This window comes from Homo sapiens, chromosome 18, assembly GCF_000001405.40.
Source record: "Homo sapiens chromosome 18, GRCh38.p14 Primary Assembly".
NCBI classification, from domain to species: domain Eukaryota; kingdom Metazoa; phylum Chordata; class Mammalia; order Primates; family Hominidae; genus Homo; species Homo sapiens.
This window is the reverse complement of record NC_000018.10, coordinates 8,318,394-8,337,196: the sequence shown is the minus strand read 5'-3', so window position 1 is coordinate 8,337,196 and position 18,803 is coordinate 8,318,394. Positions and strand designations below refer to the sequence as shown.

At 41.3% G+C, this 18,803-nt stretch overlaps 1 protein-coding gene across 29 annotated transcripts in view; it reads right to left on the bottom strand.

The window, feature by feature from the left end:
* Positions 1 to 18,803, bottom strand: part of PTPRM (protein tyrosine phosphatase receptor type M) — an 839,541-nt gene that overhangs the window by 69,660 nt on the left and 751,078 nt on the right. For all 29 annotated transcript variants that reach the window (XM_011525708.3, XM_047437715.1, XM_011525712.3 and 26 more), the window contains one exon: positions 17,983 to 18,019. In XM_011525708.3, the coding sequence (XP_011524010.1) occupies positions 17,983 to 18,019 (37 nt within the window). The remainder of the gene's footprint in view (positions 1 to 17,982; positions 18,020 to 18,803) is intronic.

The following is an 18,803-nucleotide window of genomic DNA, read 5'->3' as shown; positions in this document are numbered from 1 at the left end:
ACTGAGCTATGCATACCCTTGGAGATACATAAAGACGATCTAAGGCATATATGAGTAGTTTTTCAAGTATTAATTTCCAGATACTTAATATCTATAAGGACTCTGCCAAAACTTATTCCCTAGGCAGGAGTCTCCAGCCTCCATATGCAATAGTCTTTCTTTTCTTTCCACTTCTTTTCTCTTTTCTTTTCTTTCTTTTTAAAATGTATTATTATATACATTTTTTTGACGATTGCTCTGTTGCCAGGCTGGAGTGCAGTGGCGTGATCTTGGCTCACTGCAACCTCCATCTCCTGGGTTCAAGCAATTCTCCTGGCTCAGCCTTCTGAGTAGCTGAGACTACAGGCACGCACCACCACACCCAGCTAATTTTTGTATAATTTTTGTATTTTTAGCAGAGATGGGGTTTCACCAACGTCTCGATCTCCTGACCTCATGATCTGCCCGCCTCAGCCTCCCAAAGTGCTGAAATTACAGGTGTGACCCTACCTTTCCCTTTCCTTCCCCTCTCTTCCTCCTTCTCTCCTCCTCCTCCTCCTTCTTCTCCTTCTTTTTCCTCCTCCTCCTCCTCTCCCTCCCCCTCCTCCTCTCTTCTTTTCTCTCTCTCTGTCTGTCTCTGTCTGTCTCTCTTTCTTTCTTTTTTTTGAGACAGAGTCTAGCTCTGTCGCCCAGGCTGGAGTGCAGTGGTATGATCACGGCTCACTGTAGCCTTGACCTCCTTGATTCAAGTGATCCTCCCACCTCAGCCTCCTGAGTAGCTTGGACCACAGGCACTATGCCCAGCTAATTTTTGTACTTTTGGTAGAGATAGGGTCTCACTATGTTGCCCGGGCTGGTTTGTAACTCCTAGATTCAAGCAATCTGCCTGCCTCATCATCTCAAAGTGCTGGGATTGCAGGGATGAGCCACTGTGTCCAGCCTCACAATAGTCTTTCATACACTTGAAAAACCACCTATCTCAAATATGACCATGGGGCACTGCCCAGGTGTAAAAACCTACAGGTTTGGGCTGGAATTCTGGCTCCAGAAACTCACTTCCCTGTCTGAAACAATTCTGTGAGGAGTAAAACTTAGCATTTTGGCTTATGTTAAGATGTTCTGAACTCAGAACCCTTGAAGCAGTAGAGGTTGGTAATATTTATTACTATTTATTTATTTATTTATTTATTTTTTATGAGACAGAGTCTCTCTCTGTCACCCAGGCTGGAGTGCGGTGGCGCGATCATGGGTCACTGTAACCTCTGGCTTCTGGGTTCAAGTGATTCTCCTGGCTCAACCTCCAGAGTAGCTGGGACTACAGGCGTGCGCTACCACGCCCAGCTAGCTTTTGTGTTTATAGTAGAGATGGGGTTTTGCTGTGTTGGCCAGGCTGGTCTCCAGCTCCTGACCTGAAATGATCTGCCCGCCTCAGCTTCCCAAAGTGCTGGGATTACAGGCGTGAGCTGCCACGCCTGGCCATATTTACTCTTTTAAATGGAACCAGAATGCTTTCGAGGAGAGCCAAATTTTCTTGGATGAAACCCGTAAGTGAAAGTTTCATGAGTTTTCTTTCAGGTTTGGTATGCTTGAATCTGTAAGGCAGTTAAAAAACACCACATATCATAAAATATTTATCTTAATTACACCAATCCTCATTTTGTCTTAGAAAGTATTTCATACTGTCTATCTCTTATTAACAAATACACTTACATAAACATGTGATGAAAGTTTTCGATATCAAACTCAAATGTTTAGAGCAGGTGCATAATTTCTTCAAACTTCTTTTGGGGATACACAAGAAGAAAAGTCTGAAGGCCAGGGTCGGTAACTGATGTATGAGGATGCCTGTGGCAGTCAAAGTCAGGAAGAGCTTAGGTCTGACTGGCGACGCAGTAGCAGGACTAGCATTGTTGAAGTCAGGTACCTGCCATAGGTCTCAAAGGACAGGGTATGACTCTGAAGGAGGGGAGAGGGGAGGGAGGGTGGGGATAGCAGGTCCTCCAGCAGGAGCCACTTGTTGCCACTTGGGAGGGAAGGAGACTCCCATGGGGCCCTCTTGTAGGAAATGTAAAATTCTGATAAGATTTGCAAGTTCAGATTTTAGGAGTGGAAGACAACCATGACAGATACTAAAAAACATGACTAAGGAAAGTTCCGGTTTTAGAATCAAAGCTCGGGAAAAATCAGAGAAAGAAAACAGAGGAAGAAGTGTTTGGTTGTTGGAACGGACTCTACGGGGGGCACCTGTACTGCAAGGAGGTTTGATCAGGTGTGGGCTCAGCCTTAGGTGTGACCAGCCATCAGCAGCTGAGGATGAAGTGGGAACAGGAGGAGCAAGGTACGGTGGGCTGAGAGAAATGGTAAACTGAGCCCAGCTATCCAAAGCCAAGTCCAAAGGCTCCCACTGAGCTCTCCTGCATGTTCTGGACAGACGCCAGTGTCCAGAGCAGAAGGGTCTACTCTTTCCATTGAACAAAACAACTCCTAAGAAACAGGAATATGTTGAATGTGAACAGTAAAGAACAGTGAACAAAAAGATGGTCCGTATTGATTAATGAGAGGCAAAGTTTAAACATATTTTATAATTTTACAATTATTATGGCAAGAACAGCTCCCTGGGCATCCAAATGGCTGGCGGAGATCTGCAGCAGAAATGTCCAGGTGGTGATGGGTCGGGAATCCAACAGACAGCAGCAATGTGGCTGCAGGTGATGGCTCAGCACAGGGAGAGCCTGGGGGCAGGAAGGTCAGAGCCTATAGGGCAGGGGGCAGGCCCTAAGCCGGCCACGTGTGGCTGGCAGGGCCAGCGTGGGCTCCAAGGCTCCCCAGTGTGGCAATGAGGCTCAGGTGGGCTCAGGAACCAGGGGATTGGTGGATAGGCTGACCTCTTGATTCAGACCAGGGAGGACTGGGGCTGTACTAGGAAGACAGTGTTAAAACCAAGGGGGACTCTTGCCATCCCTAAAGCTCTGTCAGCAATAAGAGAACCAAGGCTTCTAGGCTGGAATAAGGGGAACCCAGGACAAGGGTGTTGGACAAATAAATAGGTACAACTAGATGGCTCCCTGCCAGGCAGGTGCTGGATGCTGCTCTTTATATGCACGATCTCATTCATTCCCCAACACAGCAGTGTGAGGCACCTACTCCAGCCCAAGAAACAGGCTTAGGAGATGAAGTGCCTTTGTTACAGCAGCACTGCCAGTATGTGGCAAAGCTGGAATTCCAATTCAGGTCAGCCCAGCACCACTATTCTGACTGCAGAATGAACTGAACTGCCCGAGACCAGGGCCCGTTTGAGCGCATCACCAGAATGTTTGTTTCTAGCGTGGTTCTGGGACCTGAAGGAGGGAGTGTGTGGTGGGTGGGGGTACACACTGAATGGCAGAAGTGCGAAGGGAAAGGGGAGGGATGTTAAGGCAAAGCAGCTGCAGGAAACCTGGGCTCCCTCCTTTGGGCACTGGCAGCCAGTTCCCTCCATCAGCAATGAAGATGGCTGAAGGTGGGACTTAACCACAGAAGACGATGAGCCTGAGAGGCATTCATTTTAAAGCTCTTGCTACAGGAATAAAAGTGGTCCTAAATTTTTGATCCATGATTGCTCCTGTTGCTGTTGGTGATAATCTATAATAAGGGTTACGAAGTCAGTTACTCAACATTTAGAGAACTAGTTGTCCCTTCAGTGGTTTTCTAAGTTTTTATTATAAAGCTTTATGTGATTTTTCAATATGATGCTTCCATAACACTTAAGTCTATAATTTTACATTGAGTAGCTTTTCATTTTTACAGTAGTGAGATGTAAACGGTAAAATATGCCACCATGCTTTACAAACTGAATCTGCCTCATGTGTCACAGAAGTGGTAACAGTGACACAGAATATACTTGGCTTCAGCATTAATAATCCTTAACATCACTTATTTGATAGTTGCATTTGTTCTCCCCTGAGGCTACTTATGTTAAAATCATGCAACTTTCATGAAATATTTTTTGTTTCAGCTGCAGAAAAGGAAAAGCAAAGTTGAGATGGGTGGGTATAAGGGACATGATTTGCTCATTATCCCGAATTGCTAAGAATATCCCAAGAAAATTACCATTTAAAGGAAACAATGGAAATCAACTAATGAATTACAAGCAAACACACTGAGAATTGTTCTATGATGGGGAAAACTCGGCAATACTTTAACCTAAAATCAAAAATATAACTGGCCTGTTAAAATCGCATTTTCTAAGGACAACTCTCACACGAAAAACTCTTTATGCCTAGAATTACATAATAGGGTTAGAAGTGTTCACTGGTCCACTGGAATTTCAATTTGGTGACAGTAAAAGAAGAGAAAAGCTATAATAAAATATACCTTATTAGAAGTAGTGTTGAAAGTGATGACTTAAATAATAAATGTTAAAGAGTGTTTTGTTAATAAATTACAGTGATGCCACACAATGACACATCTCTTCTCAACTGGAGTAGGGTTTCCTGTGACAAGAGTCTTTTCCCCTCACCTGGCCCTCTCTGGTTGGCGGGTACTTGCTGTTTGCCCAATTTCTTCTAAATTGCCTTGCAGGTGTGTACTCTTCTTATACCTAAAATCAGGCATACACTTTCCGCTGTATCCACGATTAGCCTTTTCTCCAGCGCACACAACCCACATGTTGATGCTTACATTTCACTCATTCCATTCCCCAAAATTCTCATTTCAGACTGAAGTAAGAAAGTGTGACAATATAAACCATGTGACTATTTGTGGCTTTCTCTACATACTTAGTTTCATGGAATGTTTGTTTCTGGGTGTATTTCTAAAACATATGAAATCCTGATTGGACACCAAAAGGTTATGTCAAATTTCATTAAGAGAAAATTGGCATAAACCAAACATTAACGGACAGGTTTTAAATAAACACTAAAATAGCCTGGGAAACCTCTGTCTATAATATGCTATACAACCCTTCAACCATCATCTATTTTCTCTTTTCTGGTTAATAATCTTTTCTTTTAATCATTTATTCAATTAAAATGATTATGAAATGTTTAAAAACAAAAAGGACAAATAATTACATAGTAGATATTATTTAGTATGTCTTTATAATAAAGATAAATTTAATCAATAGCCATTTTCTTCCTAAGAAATATAAGGAACTTACCATGTTAAAGCTCCTCTCTAAAACACCCCTGTGTAATTCTTATCTCAGGAACTGCTTTCAATGAAGCCTGTTAGGAAGGAACTTGTCTGGTCTTTGGAATTAAGCTGTTTTCACTCACATGTCATCTGACTTTAAGTGTGCACCAGGGAAGCCTTCAGAACACCAAGACGTGGAGCTGGCGCTGCTATCAAGGCTGCTCAATTTCAGCAAGACTTCAAAAACAGAAGGAAAATATGCTTTTCCAGCTTAGGATGCAGCTGTTGTCTTTCCAACCTATGTTTGTCTACAGTTTAACAGTGAACAATGATGGCACTCTTTGTACTCTGGAGGGAGTACAGGATGTTGGTGCACACTTAAGTGGCTCCCTTTGATACATCCTTCTGGAAGGAAGCATTAACAGGTGTAGGATGTATCAGCTTTCATGAAAACTATATGAGTATACATTATACTAGGGTTAAAACCTGAACTGCTTCTCTGCTATTGAGAGATATGTCTTTTGGAACATACAAAATGATAATAACAATAAGTAGCTAATATCTATTGAGAGGTTACTTGCAGAGCTGCTATCTGAGCCTAGGCTGTGCAACTCTAGAGTGTAGGCTTTCATTAACCATTCTGCCTATCTTCTTTTAGTGGGGAGCGGACAGTCCTGGCCTAGTTACTGACATAAAACATGGTTGTATATGGAAGAAATTTTAAGAACAAGTTGAAGAGATCTGATTGTGACTATGTTGCATAAAGCAAAGAGATATCTATGGGTAAAACCAATAATGGGGTGGTTTGTAGCCTAGCATGACTTGCTCTTAGAATTGAAATGTTCCAAAGCATTTCTGGAAACTCCATCTACCGAAAGAAACCATTATTTGCATTTCATTCTTTTTGGGCGATATTCAGTCCTCTTCTAGAATCGGACCTCCCTAGCAGTTACGTAAACTATTTCAGGTTGCAGTGGTACCACTGTGAAAAGGAATGCAAAAAGGTTTCTATTATTCTTGACACAGAAAGCAGGTCGAGAAAGGCAGACCCATCAGATTTGAGTGATGGGATATGGATTAGGGCACCAAAGAGGATCTCTAATATAGAAAAGAATAAAATGGGGGTAGGTAGTGTGTGGCAACAATATGCTATACAATGCAGAGATAGAGACACTGCTTCCAGAGGGACCTTCAGTCCCTGATCCCTGGGACAGACCGAATGGCGGCATGCATGGGGAGCTAAAAAGAGGCGCAGGAGAAAGTGCTGTGGCCTCGGAAGGAAGGAACATGACAGATGTCCACAGCACAGAAGCATCCTGCTGGCGGAGGTACAGAGCATTCATCAGTGTCGGTCTCCAAAGAGAACGCTCAGAAACTGAGCTTGGGTACTTGCGCATGCTGTAAAGAGGGGAACAGAGAGACGGCAATCAAGGACAAAAAAAAAAAAAAATGAACGGCAGCCTTCAGAATGGAGGGGTTTGGTGACCCAAAGGATCTGGCTGCCTTCTGTCAAGGAAGTAAAGTGAAGGGAACAGCCTATATTCATATGCTTCAGGGGCTACTGCCAGAGAAATAAAAGCTTTCATTAGTCTCTATCTTCCTTAATTAAGCTCTTCTCAGTACACAAGTGGAATCCTCTTTTATTTAAGAAAAAAGAGAATAAATCTAATAAATGAATGAAATACAGATAAATTGGCTCCCTAGACATAGCTCAGTGCAGACAGTCTCAAATTTTCCATGGCAGTGAAGGGTGTTGCATGAGGAAATTTCCAGCAGCTTCCTTTTGAGTGAGAAGGCAAGAAAAAAAGTCACTGGTTATAGCTAGAAACTTCCTAAACTGTTTGCTGCCTTGAAAAACTGGTCCTAAACTGTGCCCATGGGTGAAAAAGAAACCTGGTGCCCAGATTTCTGGAAAAGTGGTTCTAGGGCTGCACTTGGTCTTATTTTTTCTTCTGTAAAATGGGGTAGGGGTGGAGAAGAGAAATGGCTTAAAGAAGTTCCTAGGTTGGGTGCAGTGCCTCATGCCTGTAATCCCAGCAATTTGGGAGGCTGAGGTAGGAGGATTGCTTGAGGCCAGGAGTTTGAGACCAGCCTGAGCAACATAGCAAAACCCTGTCTCTATAAAAAATAAAATAAAAAATTAGCCAGGTGTGGTTGCTTATCCCTGTAGTTCTAGCTACTCAGGAGGCTGAGGCAGGAGGATCCCTTGAGCCGAGGAGCTGGAGGCTACAGCGAGCTATGATCATGCTACTACACTCCTGCCTGGGTGACAGAGTGAGACCATGTCTCTTGAAAAAAATCTAAATAATTAAAAATCAAAATGAAGTCCCCAAATCTGTGGGTGCATTAAAATCACAAATTAGTAAGAGTTGGGTATCATTTATTTATACTCCACACTGGGTAATTCTGAAGTCACTGGTATATTCCGGATCGTGTGCTGATCCTGGCAAGTGACAGGTGCACAGAAACCTTTGTTCAATTTTGAATGAACCAGGCTGTAAAGGAGTAGCTTTGCTTTGCAAGGACTCATGTTGCCAGAGGCACGGGGAAGCCAGCACTTTGGAAAGTACATGGGTATTAGTTTCAGCTCTCTCCTTTTAAAGGGCTGAACCTGAGAGAAAGATGTAACCTCACAGTTTTTCTTCCTGTTGAATAAAAGGCCCTATGGGGGAACAGGTCTGTCTTAACATATGACGTTTCTCCTAGGTTGAACTTTGCACACACTCTATTAAAATATGAACGTTAGTCCATGCAGTTTGCAAATACTTTTGCATATATGACTCACTTGAACTTATGTGGATGAAGGTCACTTAAATATAGTTCTGCTTTAAGTGCCAACTGTTATAATAACAAAACAAGGAAACTGGACTGTGAGCTTCTTAAAGTTTCTGTCACCTCTAAAAGATTCTACAAATTTTCTACTTCAAATGAGGAACCCCTCTAAATACTCTTGAAGGTTTAAAAAGCATTTGTTTTAAGACACCTTAAATCTGAGTGCTTGCTTAACAACAGGACATCATTTATTTTCAAATTATTCTGTATTAATTTTGGTTCTCTTATTAGAGGGCCACATTTTCCTTATGGCATCTATAACAACATAGGTGGATGTTACCTGACATGCTCTATTTTTTACTTCATCTTTTAACTTTAACTCTTCCTTTAAATGTTCTCATTGCTAATGAGCAAGTTTATTTAGAGCACAGGGATGAGAAATGTCTATGAAAGTGACCATTTGGCTAATTGGCAACTATCTTTTGAAATTAATCTAGTGAAGAGAAATTATTGTTTAAAAGGAAGTTTCTGGATAAGCTGCTAATTGCAATTGTTCATTCTCTCTTGTAAAACCACAGATGGTTGGTAAAATGCAGGCAGGGTCTGTATAAACTTGGCCCTGGGTCGCTGGAATACTTACGACAGTGACTTTTATGGAGTCACTGTTCGCCTGTATATAAATCACATTTTCTCAAAGCATCCCTATTTAAATTTGGAAACCAGAGAATACTCCACTTCACTAGGTAATACTTTTAAATTAGTCTCAAATAGGACATAACAAATGAATCCAAAACATAACCTACAACTCACTGACAATGCAGGAACAACTTTGCCAGGAAGCACAGTGCTAGCTAACACAGAATTTGCACTTGAAGTGCAAGCTGCACTGGTTCTTGGAAGAATAAAAACAAAAGTTGTTTACTGAAGGCTGAGCTTTTGATTTAAAAAAAAGTTCTTTCAATTCTACTGAGAAATAATTTCAAGTGTTCATCTCCATCTGGAGGCCAGAATGCAAGAGAAAAAAGCTGCTTTACAGAGTGTGCAGAAGTTACACTGACGCTCTGAGAACCCTCCACTACCGGAATGGCTTGCCCAGGAAAGTGAGTGCAGCATTCAAAGCACTATTATTTATTGCTTCAGAGGCCTGAAGGGGAATTTTGAGCTGGGAAAATATAAACCATATTTATCTTTTTGAAAAATCCTTATTAAACCTATACCAGAAGTATGTGGAATAAAGATAGAAGAAAAACAAACTGACAGCAAAAAGAATGAAGGCACTACAACAAAGTTTGAACTGTTGTGCAGTGTTTGAGGCTCTGTAAATATTTCCACTATAAACCTTCACTCCCCACATTTTTATTATTTTCACATAAAAGTTTGTTCCTAGCTGAAAGTGTCTGGAGGGAACTTTTTAGGCTTCTCTTTTTCAAATTATGGACAAATTATAACTACAGACAAAACTGATTATATGTATGGGGACAGGGGTTACACAAACAGGGTCAGGGTAGAGCCAAGCAAAGTTAGTTTAACAAGATGGACTGTCTCTAAATACAGGATTTGATTTACTGACATATGTAAAGAAAGTGTTTCTAAGAATAGAAGCTGACCAGCCCTTAACTTGAAACAGAAATAGTCAGAGATGTTGGAGATAATGCCACCAAAATCTGCCCCAGGATTTTGGCTTTGCCGGGCCAACATGAGCCATCCTCTCTACCTGGCTGAGATATTCTACTGTCTAAGTGGTGCGTGGCACATCGTAAGTCCCAATCCATTCATTTACTCATTCACTCATTCATTCTTGTGTTCTTACTGAGCTTATGTTTTATGCCAACTCACTACAAGACAGGTGGTGCATACTTATTGAATCATGAATAAACTCTCCGACCCCTTCTTCAGATGCCCTGGTCATGATGAAGTGATCTTCTGCCAAGGCATCTTCCTCTTCACACAGAATGCCCCTGCCTGACCTTGGCAGTTCTGTCTGATGGGTGGTTACAGTTTTCATTGTAAATGACTATCTGGCATCTGGTTCTCCATATCAGTTTCTGTGGTCTTTGCCAATGTGACCTGGCATCCTCAAAGATGACACTGGGCATCTGGATCCTCTGAGCATAAAAGGAAGACAGTGATGGCGGTGATAAGGTCAATGGCATGTGGTGGGGCCTATCTGGATAGCCAGTTCTCCACAGATCACAATCTCTATGAATTGTTCCAAGGCTTCTTAACTATGCACAGTTTAAGTTTGTTCACATGTGAGAAATGAAAAGTTCATGTCACTAGCTATTTAGGGGTTTACATAAGACTACTTACATTTTGAAATGTGAACATATGCAATTAGTAAGACCTACTCTGCTTTGTCTGAGTATATTTTCAAGGTCAGCAAAAAAGGACATTATTTTGTAAATGGGCAACTTACTGGGTATTAAAAAGAAAAGGCCCCTTTGCTGGGGCCTATGTCCAAAATGCTATTTCTTAGGTTATATTCCAGGATTTTTATAGTTTGAGGTTTCACATTTAATTCTTTAATTCATCTTGAATTGATTTTTGTATATGGTATAAGGAAGGGGTCCAGTTTCAATCTTCTGCATATGGCTAGCCAGTTATCCCAGCACCATTTATTATTCAATAATATTAATAATGGGGAGTCCTTTCCCCATTGCTTGTTTTTGTCAACTTTGCAAAGGTCAGATGGTTGTAGGTGTGTGGCACCATTTCTGGGCTCTCTATTCTGTTCTGTTGGTCTACGTGTGTGCTTTTGTACCAGTACCATGCTGTTTTGGTTACTGTAGCCATGTAGTACAGTTTCAAGTCACATAAAGTGATGCCTCCAGCTTTGTTCTTTTTGCTTAGGATTGCCTTGGCTATTTGGGCTCTTCTATGGTACTGTATGAATTTTAAAATAGTTTTTTCTAATTCTGTGAAGAATGTCATTGGTAGTTTGATAGGAATAGCATTGAATCTGTAAATTGCTTTGAGCAGTAGGGCCATTTAAACAATATTGCTTCTTCCTATCCATGAGCATGGAATATTTTTTCACTGTTTGTATCATCCCTGATTTCTTTGGGCAGTGTTTTGTAGTTCTCGCTGTAGAGATCTTACACCTCCTCAGATGTCAAAAGCAATTGCAACAAATACAAAAATTGACAAATCAGACCTAATTAAAGAGCTTCTGCACAACAAGAAAAACTATCCAGAGAATAAACAGAAAAACCTACAGAATGGGAGAAAACATTTTCAAACTATGCATCCAACAAAGGTCTAATATCCAGAGTCTATAAGGAACTTAAACAAATTAACAAGCAAAAGCCAAATAACCCCATTAAAAATTTGGCAAAAAACAGGAACAGATACACTTGAAAAGGTACCATGCGGCCAGCAAGTATATGAAAAAATGCTCAACATCACCAATTGTTAGATAAATGCATATTAAAATCACAATGAGATACCATCTCACACCAATTAGAATGGCTATTATTAAAAAGAAAAAATAACAGATGCTGGAGAGGTTGTGGAGAAGATGGAACGCTTATAGAGTGCTGGTGAGAATGTAAATTAGTTCAGCCATTGTGGAAAGCAGTGTGGGAAATTTCTCAAAGAACTTACAACAGAAGTACCACTTGACCCAGCAATCCCATTATTGGCTGTATACCCAAAGAAAAATAAATCATTCTATATGATTCATGCGTGATTCAGATACATACATACATGTGTTCATCACAGCAGTATTCACACTGGCAAAGACATGGAATCAACCAAAATGCCCATGAACAGTAGACTGGATAAAGAAAATGTAGTACAAATATACCATGGAATACTATGCAGCCATAAAAAAGAATGAGATTATGTCCTTTGCAGCAACATGGATAAAGCTGGAGGCCATTATCCTAACTGACCAATCGCAGGAACGGAAAAATCAAACACTGTATGTTCTCACTTGTTAGTGAGAGTTAAACACTGAGAACACATGGGCACAAAGGAGGCAGCAACAGACACTGGGACCTACCTGAGGGTAGAGGGTGGGAGGAGGGAGAGGATTAAAAAACTACCTATCGGGTATTATGCTTATTATCTGGGTGACAAAATAATCTGTACACCAAACCCTCATGACATGCAGTTTACCTGTATAACAAACCTGCACATGTACCCCTGAACCTAAAAGTTAAAAAATAAATAAATAGCTCCCTACAAGGTAGACTATTTTCATCTTCATTTATGATGAGCACAGAGATGTTAAGTAACTTGTCCAAGGTCACACAAGTTGCCAATGGAGGAACCAGGGTTGGGGGTTGAGTTCAGACAATGTAGTTCCAGAGTCTGTGTTCCTAATGATTAAGCGATTCTGTGCTGTTTCTCAAAAACAGTAACAGGTCACGCATACATGGCATTTGCTCCATGCCAGGAATTGCTCTAAGCATTGATACATACATGAGTTAAAGTAATCCCCAAGGTCACCTATGGGAGGCAGTATAGTGAGGTGGGGAGGAGCCTTGATGCTGGAGTTCAGTGGCTACACTTGAATCTGGCCTTTGCACTTTTAGGTCTGTGACTTGGAGCATATTATTTCAAGTTTCTTTGTCTCCTTTCCTCTCATTTATAAATTGGGGACAATCCCATATATCTCCCATATTTGTGGTAAAGATGAAATGAGCTCTGTATGTGTGAGTGCTGGGAATGCTGTCTGGCACATGGTAAGGTCTTGACTATTATTACTATTTACCAAACACCAGGACTCTACCTGAAATAAGTTTAGGAAGTTCAAATACCTTTTCTGTGACAGCACAAGAATTTGGATCCCAGCCTTCTGGCTGTGGTACATGTGTTATTTCTACTACATCCTGCTTTTACAAAATAAACATCAGCTATGGGACCTGCTACTCTAGTCTCTGTCATTCAGAGAGAGCATTTTCTAATATATTATAATTGCTAAAATTGTTGAAAGGTGAGCAAAGGCATAAACTTTTCAGCACGAATGCAAAATAACAGATAGGCAGAAAACCCAGCCTGAGATGAACCGTAAAACCCAAACTGACCATGGTTCAAAATACTAACGATTATAACAATACTCTAGGGTATTTTACTACAGGGTTAGGCTAGTAAACATTTTAGTAATAGTTTGTTAAAGTTAGTAAAAATTTTGATGCTTTCAGGAATGTATTTCACATAGTTATAAACAATCTGTGACATTTTGTTAACCCCTAAGTATGGTTTTTTAAAAAGTAGAACTGCATGTTCTGCACATGTACCTCAGAACTTAAAGTATAATTTTAAAAAGTAGATTAATTAAGTCTATGGTTTCTGTCTTATCCCCAAATAGCTTTTAATGTTTCTGACCAAAGTAAAGTTCATAACCTGAGGTCCATAGAATTACTATAATTCATGAGTAAAATTGGGGGGTGGGGGTAGTCCATGAACCACCTTAAATGAAATTTTCTTTCTGGGGAAACGATCTTGATATTTCATTAGTTTTGAAGGAAGTTCTGTGTCTTCCAAAGGTGAGGGACATTTGGGCCAGAGTGCACATGGCTGGGCGGTCCTATGGAAAACATGGTTGGGGGCACAAGCGTCTCCCTGTTCTCACGTGGGCATGGGGGCTTCTGTTTGGAGATCCTCTCTCTAGTCCTGGACTCTACAGGGTGCTGTACAGAGCTAATGCTGATGGAGACAAAAAGAAACTATATATGGCAAGATGAAGGCTAAGTTCGGAACCCCAATCAGGTAGTCAACCCTGTCAAATTAGCACAGTTCAGAAAGAAAGAAATGATGAAGTGGGCATTGAGGCACCTAAACTCAAAAAAGTAACGCGTGCATCTCAACAATCTATAGCTCAGGTTACAACATTGAAGACAATAATAATTAACATGTATTTTCAGACATGACTATCATCGAACATTTGCTTTTTATTGTGTTGTCATGAGAAGCATCATAACTTAGAAAGCAGGGGCTGGATCTGGATTAACCATATGGTTTTGGGGGGTGAGCATGCAGTACACAGGAAAGACCACACCAGGCCTGAGCCTCTTTCTTGGGGGATCCCGGTGCACAAATGACTCTGGAAAATGCTCACTTAGAAGTGAGGAAGGATGCTCAGGACTGTGCAAGCCATGTCTAGAACACACTCACAGCACTTTCTTCAGTAACAGCCTTGCATGGTCTTTCCCTGAGTTATCTGACTCTTGAGGTAAGTTTTAAAATTAAAACTAAACAAAGCCGAGTGCAATGACTCATGCCTGTAATCCCAGCGCTTTGGGAGGCCACGGTGGGAGGCTCCTATGAGCCCAGGAGTCTGAGACCAGCCTGGACAACACAGATTTAGGGAGATCCTAAATCTACAAAAAATAAAATAAAATACATTAGTCAGGCATGGTGTGCAACTGTGGTCCTAGATGCTTTGGAGGCTGAGGTGGGAGAATTACATGAGCCCAGGAGTTCGATGCTTCAGTAAGCTATGATCCCACTACTGCACTCCAGTCTAGGTGACAGAGTGAAATCATGTCTCTAAACAAAACCAAACAAAAATCAAAAGAACACTTATCCAGGGCCCCCATGGCTGCCACCATGAGGCCAGCAGGTGTTCTATCCAGTCGGTTCTTATGTGTGTGGCTTCATCCAGCTTGCAGGCCACATAATCTCCAAGGTTGCATTTTGATTGTGAAATACGATCACTTCTGGGCAATCCTACCCACTTGCATGCTCTTCTGCCCATCACTTGAGCCTGCTTTTGAAATCTTCACTCTGCCCTGCCTCTACATACAGAGACATGCAGTAGTGGACATGACTTCCTCTCCTTTGAGCTCCTGGTTTGCTAAATCATAAATCTTGAATGTTACTGTTGCACTAATGTCTGGTCAGTCAGACATGATGAAGTTAATATTGGGTCATCATATATTAGTGGCCAGACAGAAGACAATTAAACCAAGGGGAGATAGGAAGAACATATTAATACTAAAAAAGCAACAGATCTGGCTTGAATGGGATGCTTTCAATTTGCAGAAACGTCACCCATTATTATCAAAGGTCAAAGTCAGTTACAGCTAGAAAAATCAATAAAATTGAGGGTGGATGGGAGGAGGAGACCCAATACTTAAATTTATAATATGTCCTCTGTATTGAAGGAACTTGATGAACATCTGTGCATTACTAACTCTTGGAAGTAAAACTGGTTGTCAGCAAATTGCACCATTTGTATAGTTTCATAGGTTCCTGCTGTGAATATATTTTAAAGAATTATGTTAGTGCAAAACACAGGACAAATAGAGCAAGAAGACATTTAAAGACTGCATCTGCCTGTTGGTCTTCATTGCCCATTTTGTTGGCCTCTTGGAGGTATTAATGTTTTGTTTGTTTGTTTTTCAACAAAGGTGATCTACGAACATATTCTACCTGTCCATGCCAATTAGTGAAGATTATCATCAGTGATCTTGATTACTGGTGATCTAAGGCTATTAGTCCATTATCTTCTGGTATATAATAGAAGATTCTAGCTTTCTCATCTGAACATCATGGTATGAATGTATTATTCTTAATATGATATGTATATTCTTGACTGCATGTTAGATTAAAAATATTCATTCATTTTCCCTCCTCTCCCTGCACCGCCACCAGCAGTGATGTTAGTACTGCCAGTTTGAGAAGTCCAATCTGCAGCCCACCTTGTACCAGGGAAAGGCTGCCACGACCTGGTAAACAGGGCATTAGTCAATGCCCTTCTCCATTAAGGGCAGACTGATTGTCTACTGCAAACTGATGACATTTGCTATTTCTTATCTGCTTACAAATACATTTGCTCATTAACACTAGAATGCTGCCAGAGAGGGTTACTGAGCTATTAAGTATCACTCACATGAATTCTGCAGAAAGTGACTTCTCTATTGGCATTTCTCTTTAAAGAATAATCTCTTACAGGGGGAGAGGGGCAGAGAGAATGGACAAAGGGAAGGAAGCCTGGTAAAGAGCCATGTCTAGACTTGGCAGTTTCAGTCTCTACTTTAGCTGTTCGTTTAGTCACCTTAATCTAGAGGGCCTCAATATTGAAAATACAAATAAGAGCAACTTAATGTTCTTGTTATCTATGAAAACATAGCTTGCTAATCAAGTTATTGGAGAGAAATGAAGCTCGGGAGTATTTTGGGTATTTTACAATCAAATTTTCACACGAATTTACAAAAACTGTTAATTTCAAATTATCATAGAATGTATTAAATCTGATGTTGTGAGGCTTAATTCAGAACATTCTGAAAGCCATCAGAATGAATTTCAAACCCCTAACAACAGGTTCCTCTAACGGCATTGATGAATTCCGTTTGGAAGCAGCAGGGTTAGGAGATGTCTAGGACCAGACTCTGACATGCATCCTTGTTCTATCCCATATGTAAGAGCTCAAGCTGAGCCTTGCTTCCTGAAGACCTCAGCAACCTCTATGTAGTAGGGCCTGCTTTGTGCCAGGTTCATACTGGAAACTCTACAGACAACTTTGCATCTAGCTAGCAAAGTGACCTTGGAAGGAGCCATTACCAACTTCAAGTCATAGATGATGAAAGACAGTGGGAGCTCCAGCAGGTCATCTAGACCTGAGTGCAGAGTAACCTAGTGGTGATGTGAGACTGTGGACTCTGTGTGGTGTCACCCAGGTTCTTGGGGTGGCTGTGGGCATGGGGCAGGATCAGTTTCCACAGTGGCTCCATTTCAGCCATAGCTGGAGCTTTTCCACCCCAAAGCTTTGCTGTCCAATGCCACCACAGGGAATAACCAAATGTAGCTATTTCTATCAATATTAAAATTTAAAATTCAGTTCCTCATTTGTAGTAGCTGTATTTCAAGTATGCAGGAGCCACATGTGATTTGTAGCTATGATATCGGACAGTGCAGATAGAGAGCATTCCCACCACTGCAGAAAGTTCTACTGCACAGGCAGATCCAAGCATTGGAATTCTGCTCTCTGGCTACAACTGCCTCTTTTCCTAAGCTATGACTCATCAATGGGACCCAGCCTCAATCTGTTAACTCCTTCCCTCTCCTCACGGTCCAGTGGACACCTCTGATTGCCCTTCGTCCAAGCCTGGACTTTCCAACCCCAATTATCTTGGCATCGTTGATTCCCTTGTCACTGACTGTCTGTGTACACCCTGCCCCCATGCCTAACCTTTGGCAGATCACATCCTTTTCACTTCCCTGCTACTGTTCCTGGGATGTAGCCTATTGCTGAAAACAATGATAAAATAATAAAATGGGGAGAACATGTGCTGTTCAGCCTTAGCTGGGTCTTCTCTGCTTCTTACTCCTTCTTCAGTTCATCCCATATTGACTCACTGACTCATCCTTTAGGATGCCTCATTCTCTAAAACCTCGCTCCCTCATGACCCCCACCATCTGCAGATGACCCACTTCATACGCTGGGAAAATCACCCAAAAACCACTGCCATGAGCTTCCTCAACATGTCCTCTAGCTCTTCTGTTTCCTTTAGCCAAGGTGACCCACCAGCTGCTTTCCACCTGGGAGAACTAACTTTCTGCTTCCACATCTTTGCTCATGATGTTTCTCCATTCACAAGGGCTCTTCCCAATCTCACCTCTGCCACAAAACGGTTTTTGAGTCATCCCACCGGAAAGCAACCCCTTCCTGCTCCAAATATCCCTAATGTTTTATCTGTATCTGTTCCTCTCACAGATGTCACCTGCCACTGTACCTACTAAAGTACATACAGGTGACTGCACATCTTCCCCACTAAACACAACCACTGTGAGAAGGGGGTGCTTGCTGGATTCAGCCTAGCTCTCCAGCAGCAACCAGCACAGTTCCCTGTGTAGAGAGCAGCTGGTGTATATTGATGGAATGGCTATCTATACATCTACTTTTGCAAATGTCCAACTTACTCCTAAGGTAGACATATTGAATTCAATAAGGAATTGATGGACACATTTCTCCTAATGATCTCAACATGAAGTTCTAACTAAATGATTTACATGACCAGAATGTCTGATGGGAAGGCAAGAGTGTACCTGCCGATGGCTAGAACCGCAATAAATGTGCAATATCTTCCTGAAGGAGGGTGAAGTGGGTACAAAATGATAGGAAGTGGGCAAAAGAAACAAAGAAAGACAACAAAGTAGAAATAAACTTACCTTGGGTAGCAATGTAATGATTGGGTCGATGATAACCCTAAAAATAAATAAAAGAGAATATTTGATAAACATAAAATCGATAAACAGCAGATAAGTCGCATGCTAACTTTGCTGAAAGGAATGTGCACACAAACGCCAATAGCTGCATCACCTGAAAGTTAAATGGCCAACCCAGCACCACTGAGTTTCTCTTAATTAGTGAAGGCGCATCAAATACAACAGTTCTGATGCTTGCACCAAAGGTGTGGGTAACTTAATCATAACTGGCTATGAGATGATGGATGAGCAAGAAACACTAACAACTTATGGATTCTCTGAAATAACATGAGCATTACTCTTACAAAGTGCAAACAAACTGAGAATTTGCAACAGAATTTCATTTGTGTTTGGGATGTCATTGGCAATATGCCAAGGGTTTAACACACATTCTGTTATACTGGTATAGACAGTTATATCAATAGTGATCCTCAAAACCATTCTTAAACACTGCTAATACCATGACATGCTACTGTAGCAAGGGCCAGGAATTTAAAGAGGCAGAAGTTCTGAAAGATTCCTTCCTTTTATCATGACCCTATAAGAAACAAGACAGATAAAAATTGAGGCCAAAGAAAAAGGGCCAGGTGTGGTGGTTGATGCCTGTGATCCCAGCACTTTGGGGAGGCTGAGGCAGGCAGACTGCTTGAGCTTAGGAGTTTGAGACCAGCCTGCACAACATGGCAAAAAGCCATCTCTACAAAAAATACAAAAATTAGCCAGGTGTGGTGGCATGCACCTGTAGTCCCACCTACTTTGGGGACTGAGGCAGGAGGATTGCATAA